General features: G+C 39.3%; 1 annotated feature.

The window, feature by feature from the left end:
• Positions 9,342–9,842: an enhancer, noted in NCBI's record as "H3K4me1 hESC enhancer chr8:55923506-55924006 (GRCh37/hg19 assembly coordinates)". NCBI's record gives its function as "activates a minimal SCP1, AML or CMV promoter by ChIP-STARR-seq in primed H9 embryonic stem cells {active_cell/tissue: H9 hESC(primed)}" and the evidence as "EXISTENCE:reporter gene assay evidence [ECO:0000049][PMID:30033119]".

Genomic DNA, 10,259 nt, shown 5'->3' with positions numbered 1-10,259 from the left:
TACCTTTTTTCACCCTTTTATTTTAACCTATCTAGATCATTATATTTGAAGAGAGTTTTTTGTAGACAGAATATGGTTAGGTCATGGTTTTTTAAAAATTAAATTTACCAATCTCTGTCCTTGAATTGATGCATTTAATGGAGTTATTGGCATTATAGGGCTTACATCTGCCATTTTATTTTTTGTTATCTGTTCTTTCTGTTTTGTGTTTCTGTGTTTCCTTTTCTTATCTTTTTTGAGTTATTTGAATTTATTTTTATAATTCCAGTAATTCTATTTATCTATAGATTTTTTGAGTGTATCTCTTTATATAAGTTTGTATACAAAGATTTTCAGTGGTTTATATATCACATATTTGTGTATGTGTGTGAGTGTGTTTGTGCATGTGTATATATGGCTTATTTCAGTCTCCTGAGGCAACCAGCTTGAGTGATGTGTAGAAATCCATCTCTTTATTCTCCCATTTATAATTGTTTATGTATTTCCTCTACGTACATTGAGAATCACATTCGTCAGTGTTATAATGTTTGTTTCAACTTTCAAACATAAGTCAGAAAGAAGAAAATTAATATTCATTCATATATTTTCTCTTTATCTTGTTCTTTCTTCTGTCCTAATGTTTCAAGAGTCTCTCTTTTATTATTTCCTTTCCGTTTAGAGAACTTCTTTCCCCATTCTTTTAAGGTAGGTATGTGAGCAAGAAATTATCTCATTTTTCCTTCATCTGACAATGACTTGACTTCCCCTTCATTCCTGGAGGACATTTTCACTGGCTATAGAATTCTAGTTGACACTTCTTTTATTTCAGCTCTTAAAAATATTGTGCTTCTTCATCTGGGCTCCATGTTTTCTAATAAGAAATCTGCTGTTGTTCAAATTGCTTTTTTTTCTAAATGTAAGCTTTTCTTTCTCTCTAACTTCTTTCAAGTGTTTTTCTTTATTTTTGCTTTTTAGAACTTTGACGATAATGTGCCTTTATATAAATTTCTTTGGATTTACCCTGTTTGGATCATATAGCTTCTTAAATCTATAGGCATATGTCTTTTGCCAAATTTGGTGAATTTTCAGCCATTATTTTCTGCAAATATTTTTAGCTACTTTCCTCCAGGGACTCTAATGACATAAGCATTAGATCTTTATTATTATGGTTCTTCAGGTCCCTAAGGCTGTGAACTTTTTTTTTTTTTCCTGTCTATTTCCTTCTGTTATTCAGCTTGGGTAGTTTCTCTTGTTCTGTCTTCCAGTTCACTGATTCTTTCCTCCATTCTGCTCTTGAGTTCATTCATTGAGTTTTGTATTTTGGTAACTGTATTTTCTAAGTGCTAAAATTTCCATTTGGTCTTCTTTTTTGTATTTATTTGCTGAGATTTTCTATATTTTCATTAATTTCAAGGTTGTTTATAATTGCTCATTGGATCATTTTCACCATGGGTGCTTTAAAATCCTTGTCAGGCTGGGCATAGTGACTCACACCTGTAGTCCCAGCACTTTGGGAGGCTGAAGCAGGATGATTGCTTTAGGAGTTTGAGACCTAGAATTGCCTAGGAGTTTGAGACCAGCCTGGGCAACAAAGCAAGACCACATCTCTACAGAAAATACAAAAAGTAACCAGGTATAATGTGTACCTGTAGTCCCAGCTACTCCAGAGGCTAAGATGGAAGGATTGCTTGAGCCCAGGAGGTTGAGGCTGCAGTGAGCTATAATCATGCCACTGCATTCATGTCACTGGGTGGCAGCAAGGCCCTGTCTCAAAAAGTAAAAATAAAAATAAAAATAAAAATAATACAATAAAATGCTTGCCAGATAATTCTAACATCTCTGCCATGTTGGTGTTTTTGGTCTATTGATTGCTTTTTCTCATTTAAGTTGATTCTTAGCATAATGAGTGATTTCTAATTACATAATACTTTGGGTATTATGTTCTAAAACTCTGGATCTTATTTAAATCCTTTGTTTTATGTGGACTTTTCTGATACTACTCTAATAGGAGTGGGGGTGGGGGTCACTGTGTCATGACTGCCAGGTAGGGGGTGGAAGTACAGTTTCCCCACTTGACCTGTATTGATCCTGGAGTGGGAGTGATCCTCACTACAACTCGGTGGGATAGGAGCTACTGCCCCTTGTTGGGTCCCCACAGATACCACCCTGGCTGGGAGTGGCAGGAGTGCTTTGTCATTGTGCCCCATGTGGCCTCCGCTCACACTGTGGGGAGGAGTATCCTTGCTGCCCCTGAGTGGTGGTGAAGGTCCTGACACTTCACTGATCCTCTTCTGATAGGGGAAGGAAGGGTACCTCATTACTGCCAGTGAATTGGAAGTCCAGGATCCCAATGTGGTCTTCATTGTCATCTTGTGGAAAAGGGACCTCATTACCCTCCAGTGGGGATGAGAGTTTTGGCTTTCTCCTCCTTCTTCTCTGATATCACTCTGCTCAGGGCATTTGGGAAAGTTATTATGGTCTGGGGAGTGTGGAAATATGGCCTGTCCATTCAGCTTTTGGTGGCAGGGAGTGAAGAAGCAGACCCATTTGTTTCTATGGTGTTTGGCTGGAGTAGAGTGGTCATTGTTTGAAAGCTTTTCTGTCTTTGTAGGCTGCCCTTTCCTTGTCATTTGTCTGGAGGGAGCGGAAATTTTATTTGGAGGGTTGGCCTTTCCAGGTGTTAGCCTGTCCACTATTCAGCCTGATATGTGAGGCAAATAAAAAACGCAGGGTTGTTCCTCAGGCCCCAGTGTCCCCATGTCCCTGTTGGTCTTCCATCTCCATCTTTCAGAACCTTCCTGTGGTTGTTCTGCATACACGGTCCAGGGTTTTCAGTTGCGCTAAGCGGCAGGAATATGGAAAAGTATTCCTACTCCATCTTTCCAGATGCCAACGTTCCCCACTCCCCAAGTCATGTTCTTGTACCTAGTCTAGATTTTTCACATTCTTGTACTGGCTCTCCTTGAAACTTTAGGAATATTTACCATGTGTCTTCTGACAAAATTATATCAGGTAACAATAAATGTAAAATAAATATAACAACTGTGAGAGCCAAAAAATCCAGAAAAAGGAAATACATTTTCTCTTTGTTTCAATCAAGTATTTATCTGGGCAGTGCAGCATGCAACCGCCGCCTCCTGGGTCCATGCAATTCTCTTGCCTCAGCCTCCCAAGTTGCTGGGATTACAGACATGTGCCACCACGCCCAGGTAATTTTTGCATTTTTAGTGGAGACAGGATTTCACCATGTTGGTCAGGCTGGTCTTGAACTCCAGACTTCAAGTGATCCACCCGCCTCGGCCTCCCAAAGTGCTGGGATTACAGGCGTGAGCCACCACACCTGGCCCCCAGACAATAACTTAAAAGCCAAAAAGAAATGGTTCTAGTAAATAAAAATGTTTGTTTTATTTTATTTTATTTATTTATTTATTTATTTATTTATTTATTTATTTATTTTTGAGACGGAGTCTTGCTCTGTCGCCCAGGCTGGAATGCAATGACATGATCGCAGCTCACGCCATTCTCCTGTCTCAGCCTCCTGAATAGCTGGGACTACAGGCACCCTCCACCATGCCCAGCTAATTTTTGTATTTTTAGTAGAGAAGGGGTTTCGCCATATTGGTCAGGCTGGTCTCGAGTTCCTGACCTCAGGTGATCGACCTGCCTCAGCCTCCCAGAGTGCTGGGATTACAGATGTGAGCCACTGTGCCCGGCTGTTATTTTGATCAGACAATATTCTCTAAACTTATTTTTATTTTTGAGTAGCAGAGGAAAATGTAGCAGGACTTTCTAACAAGAGAAAATGTTCACATAGTCTTAATAACTAACATCTGACTAGATACAAGATAGGTGGCAGGGCATCTGTCTCACCTAATTTCCAATATTGGTGTGTCCGTGGCAAGGCATTTACATTTTTGCTTTCCTGAATTTTTAATTGAAAAGGGGATTGAAATCTAAATTAATGTTTTGGTAAAACAGCATCTAAATGATAATGAGCACACCTATTCTTTTGTTGTTAGGCAGTTGAGTATCACTTAGATGAAGATTAAACTGAGAAGTCTACAATGTGATTTTCTACTTAACTTTACCCTCCTAGACACTGCTCTGAAGATGAACTGGTTCTAGAACACACCCAGTGTTTTGAAAGCCTTTAGATCCAGACACTCATGATTTTTCATTTTTAATTGTTTATGCTTCATTTACATAATCATTGCTCTCACTGGTTTGGATGTTCTGAATTAATCGGATACTTTTAATATCAAACTAATTACTTAAAACAGAAGAAGATATAATTGTATACCACAAAATACAACTTCTTCACTTATGATATTGTAGTAGAGTCAGTGAAAGCTTTTGTTGGTCCTGTGGTTCATAAAGTACTTCATGCCAGACTCTGGAATATCTGTTGTTTATAAGAATTATTAAACTATCAAGACTTATTCAAGGTTGCTAATGGCACATAGTCCATAACTTAATTGGTTATAAACAGATGACACTGATACACTTCCTCTGAAAAAAGTAATAAAATTAAAGCTATATAATTAAAAATTAGATAACAATGTACATACTCATAAACACCAGCAGATCAGGTTATCATACCATGGAAATAATGCAGAGTAAGTATGAAAAATTATAAAATCCATAAGAGGTAAGCAGTTTGTTGTTTGCAATTGGATGACACTAGGATCTTTTGAGAACAGTATTAAATGGATTTAATAAGTATCCAGGCATACCTGAACTTCCAATTGTGTTTTCTAATTAAACAAGATGAGATGCAGGAATAGTCTGTTCTGTACACGATGCTAGGTTTTGTGATAAGTATTACAAGCATGGATCATCCGATTTAATTTCACAATCTGTCTCAGAATTTAACTTTTGTTGTTGCTGGAGTGAATGCATTATTTTCTTTTTCCAAATTCTCCCAATAAGTAAGTTCCAAAATAAAATCAAGTTCTGCTGACTCCAGCATTGTCTGTTATGCTGAGTCTAGTCCAAGCTTTTTTATTTGCTATACAGTGGAAACAGTTATGATGCTCTCTGACAACAATAACAACAAAAATGCTTGGCTGTATCACTTCTCTCCCAAATCTGTTTTAGAAAAGTATGAACAAATTAGTAATTTTTATAAGAAAGATTTTTTAAGAAGGAGAAAAAGAAGAAGAAATCACCTGTAATTTTTAGTGTAACCAGCAAATATTCTTTCATTTATGGGCAGGTCTGAGTCAGAAATAGCAGTTCTTGGCCAGGTGAAGTGGCTCACGCCTGTAATCCCAGCACTTTGTGAGGCCGAGGCAGGTGGATCACGAGGTCAGGAGTTCAAGACTAGCCTGGGCAAGATGGTGAAACCCCTTCTCTACTAAAAATACAAAAATTAGCCAGGCATGTTGGTGGGTGCCTTGTAATCCCAGCTACTCAGGAGGTGGAGGCAAAGAATTGCTTGAACTTGGGAGGCTGAAGTTGCAGTGAGCCGAGATCCCACCACTGCACTCCAGCCTGGGTGACAGAGTGAGACTTTGTCTCAAACAAAAAAAAAGAAATAGCAGTTCTTTTGTATCCACTGGTGCCTTTCTCACAGTAATATTTTCCAAGTGCCAGTCAAGACCTTGCCCTTTTTCACATCCACTGTTTGCAAAAGTGCAAAGGCAACTGCTTCTGATCTAAACACATTCACCTGCCAGAGTTTACATCACGGTTAACAAGGACAAAATCTTTCTCTGCACCCTGAAAGACGCGTGGCCAAACTTTCATTCTAGGAAAACCAGCTGACTCCAGACTGGGGGCTGAGTCATAAGCTCCAGCCTCTTCTCTTTGTGAGATAAACTTGAAAACTTATATTATGAACATTTTACATACTAGTGGATGTGTAAGCTTTTCCAGGGCAAACATCACCAACTCTCCACAGAGTTAAGAGTTTCAATGATTAATGCAAGAACCTTTCATCAGAAACCTCTTGGAAGAGGTGCTTCCCAAAATCAAGGAAACCACAACTCAATCCATTAGTGGTTCTGACTTTTAGAGTGTAAGGGTCAATGACGTACCACCTAAAATGAAGACATAGACACCCTTGCCATTAAGTTCTTCATTGAAAATTCAATCTAAACTCATCACTAATTGAGATTAACCAGACACATTATTGGCAGGAGAAAAGCAGGCAGAAAAAAATGAAGAAATATATATTGAAGGCTATTATATGTATTTTTATCATTTAATTCTCATGACGATCCTGTAAGATTGATATTATTTTTCTACTTTGCCAATGAGCCTACAGTCTCAGAGAGATTAAATAATTTGCCGAAATTTGAAAATTTGGTCACTTAGTAAACGACCAAAAATACAGAAACAACTTTAAGAGTTTTCAATTATTCAGCGTCTTCGACTGTGTTGACTGTGTTAGACACTGTACATTTAGTCCTTACATAACCCTGCAACTTATTTCTCATTTGACAGATGAGTAAGTTAAGCCTCAAAGGGGTTAAGTGATTCGTCCAGTCAGGACTCTGAGCAACCAAGAGTCTCACGGTGACCAAGTCACAACTCTGAGGGATGCTCTGCCTGACCCCAGAGCTCATTATTCCTCCACTAGGTCCTGCTGCTTTCTATCTGCGTGACTTCAAGACATACTGCTTGCCATGGTGTCACCATGATTCCCAGCTGCAAATGCTTGTAATAAAAAATATCAAGTGTAGAATCTCTGGGCTCTGTGTGGCAGCTCAACTTAGTTTGAAAGCCATACATTATTTCTGAAAAAGAAATTTTGAGCAGTTTGCTAGTAAAATATAAGGCGAAGAAGTGGGAATACAACTGGCATTGCCCGCTTCATGTTGATTTGTTGCTTCCAAGGCCGTTTATCATTCTGGGAAGAGGAGGGAGCTGTCGGTCTAGGGGAGCCCAGTGTGAATTTCAATCTAGGCTGCTCTCGGTGACCTAACTTTCTCATCTATAAAACTATGTGATTTGATTTAATAATAAAACTAAGATCCTTCCGAGTTTTAGAAAAGGCTATTTACAATATCTTATGAACAAGTGCTGCTGTTATGCCATTTATAATGGGTTTCACTCTGAAATATATAATGTATAACAACCTTAGTATTCTTTAGTAAATTAACCACTCTTCTCCAAAAGAAGAAAAAGGAAAAACCCAAATTCCTTTCTAAACTTTAAAACACCCTGAGAAAATCACCTGAAGCTTTTTTTTGTGTATATGTCATTATTCATAAGACAAAGTTAATATTACAAACCTGATGCTTTAGGCAAGGGAAGGTACTCAATGTATGTTTTAAAGGCATCAGGTAGTAAGTCCAAAAACACTTTATCAATTTGGAACATTTCTATGGTAATGGTTTATCATTTCATTTAAATAATTTCGAGATTAATTGTGGCTTCTTGAGTAGTTTGTTTTATCCCAGAATACAGTATTGTATGTACTTGCCAAGACACTGATAGCAGGTGACAATCAGACCTATGGCAGCTTATCTTTGAGCACAGAAAAGTGAGCATTAGATATGGAAAGTAGTAGTCAAATAGGTGCACTTATAGATATCACACAGAATCATTTAAGCAACACAAAATAAAAATTAATGAACTTCCTCTCTACATATTAATATGAAACATTCAAACAGAGAACAATTATAAAAAGTAACCAAAAAGTAGCCATTTAATCTTTTTATTTATTTCTGTGCTCTTGTGGGACTTACCCACTCAATACATTATTTATTGGGTATATGAAGTCTACCATGAAGTATCCCTGAAGAATTTGGCAATAAAAGAATTCTGAGAGTTGAAGATTAAAATCAAGATATAATGAATTGGAAAAGAAATCCAGAAAGTCATCTTGGAAAGAGATGATGGCTGTTACACCAGTATGGTTTGATTGCAGCTGAACATTGACAGAATGTCTGCTTGGTCAAAAAGAAGAGGGTATGGCCATCCATGAAGACAGCAGCAGAAGCTGTGGCTGCTATTTCTAGAGCTGTCTGTAGCCATGTCAGCATCCAAAGAGTGTGTATTGCATAACAGAAAATAAATATTTGGTCTTTGTCCCTAGTTCCTGGCACAGAGCTCCTAAAATCCTTGAAATTTCCAGAGTGATAAGGATGATAGAACCTCTTGTAAGACAAGAATCGTAGGAATAAGTTCCTATCAAGCCCCTATCAACCATACCTGAGTTTATGCTAATGAGGTGACTCTTCGTGGGCCCCTACATAGTGTTAGGATGGAAGCTGGTCACCAGAAAAACCAAAGTGCAATTAAAGAATTGAAATTGTCAGCCCATTCCTCAACCTCTGGGGATGACAGAGGGGCTGAAGATTGAATCACCAATGGCTAATGATTTACTCAATCATGTTTATGTAATGCAACCTCCATAAAACTCCTGAAATGATGGTACAGAGAGCCTCTCCCTTGGGGAATGCATGAGGTACTGTTAAGGTGACATGCTTGGAGAGGTCACAAGAGCTCTGCATGGACTCCCCACTCCCCTTGCCCGCTGTTTCTCTTCCATTCGAGTGCTCTGAATTGTATCTTTCCTAATAAACCAGTAATTGTAAGTATTTCCCTGCATTCTGTGGGTTGCTGTAATGAATTATGAAAATGAAGAAGGATCATGGGAGCCTTTGGACTTATAGCCATGACAGACAGAAGGGCAGGTACACTTGGGAGCTGATATCTAAGGCAAGGGCAATCTTCAGCTGAATCTGCTAACCTGTGGGGTCTGCACTAGCTCTGGATAATTAGTGTATTATTCTACTTGAGCTTTCATAACAAAATACCATAGACTGGGTGGCTTAAATAAAAAGCAATATATTTCCTCATAGCTCTGGATGCTTGAAGTCTAAGATGAAGGTGCCAGCAGGGTTGGTTTCTGGTGAGGACTCACTTCCTGGCTTGCAGACGGCTGCCTTGTCCCTGTGTCTTCACGTGGGCTTTCTTTGGTGCATGCATGCAGGGAAGAGAGAGAGAGAGAGAGACAGAGACAGAGAAAGAGAGAAAGAGAGATATCTCTGGTGCTTCTTCTTATAAGGACACTAATCCTATCAGATCAGAGTCCCATCTTTAATAAGTTTTTTTACTCTACATACAGCTACACTGAGGGTTAGGGTTTCAATGTATGAATTGGCAAAGGGGCACAAACATTCGGTCCATAACAGCTAGTGTCTGAGAACTGGAGAATTGGTGTTGGAAAATATATTATATGTTTGATGTCACGGAAAAAACCACTCAGGATGGAAACAAGTTAGGAAAAAGCTCATCTTCAGATTGGAAAAACATGCCTATGGACTCTTTTGGTTTGAGGTATGGTGCAGGATTTAGTTTGGAAAGATAGGATGAGATCATGAGAACCTTAATTGCACTTCTGCTCTCATTACCATGGCCCATCCAATGCCTCAGCCTTTCAGTACTTTGACTTCTTTCTGCAAAAAGATTTTCTTCTCTCCACGTCAGCCAACATTCTCAGAGTCACTCCCTGGACTACTCACCCCTTGAAACTGATCCACCCCTGAGTATTCCACATACTGCCAGAGCTGCCTTGCCTTTCATGGCCTTGCTACTTTTTCCTAGTATGTGGTGTTTTGGCTACAGTGGGCCTTCAAGAAAGCCTCAGCTGTGTCCTAGTCACCCAACTTTCCCTTCCGCTCTCCTTGTTTCCATCTTTATCCAACTTTGATTCCATAGTCCTCCTTTTAGAGACAGTTTTGCCAATATCTGAACTGTCTTTTCCTTCTTTTCATCATAGCCTTCTGGAGAAAACCTGGATTAACCCTTCTATCTGCTTTCTTCCCATCTACTCTTCACCTTCACCACCGCTGCAAGAACACTGCAAAGCACACGGTGGTGTCACTGCAGGCTGAGGACCACCAGCTGAACCTGGACTCACCACACTGCATCTCTCCACCAATTCCAATGACCACTTCAGAATGTTTCCACTTTCCTCCAACCTACAACTTAACCTAACAACTCTCTCACTAAGCGAACACTTAACCTTCTACTTAGAAAAAGCTGAAGCTATCATTTGAAACACTCTTCACTGTCCAAACCTGTCACCGAACCTGTGTCTAGAAACACCCACATTCAACTAGGCATGGTGGCTCATGCCTATAATCCCAACACTTTGGGAGGCTGAGATGGGAGGATCACTTGAGCCCCAGAGTTCGAGACCAGCCTGGGCAACATGGCAAAACTCTGTCTCTACAAAAGATACAAAAATCAGCTGGGCATGGTGGCATGTGTCTGTAGTCTCAGGTACTCAGGAGTCTGAGGTGGGAGGATCGCTTGAGCCCAGG

Source organism: Homo sapiens, chromosome 8 (assembly GCF_000001405.40).
Source record: "Homo sapiens chromosome 8, GRCh38.p14 Primary Assembly".
Lineage (NCBI taxonomy): Eukaryota > Metazoa > Chordata > Mammalia > Primates > Hominidae > Homo > Homo sapiens.
Note: the sequence above shows the minus strand (reverse complement) of the source record. Positions and strands in the feature narration are given on the sequence as shown.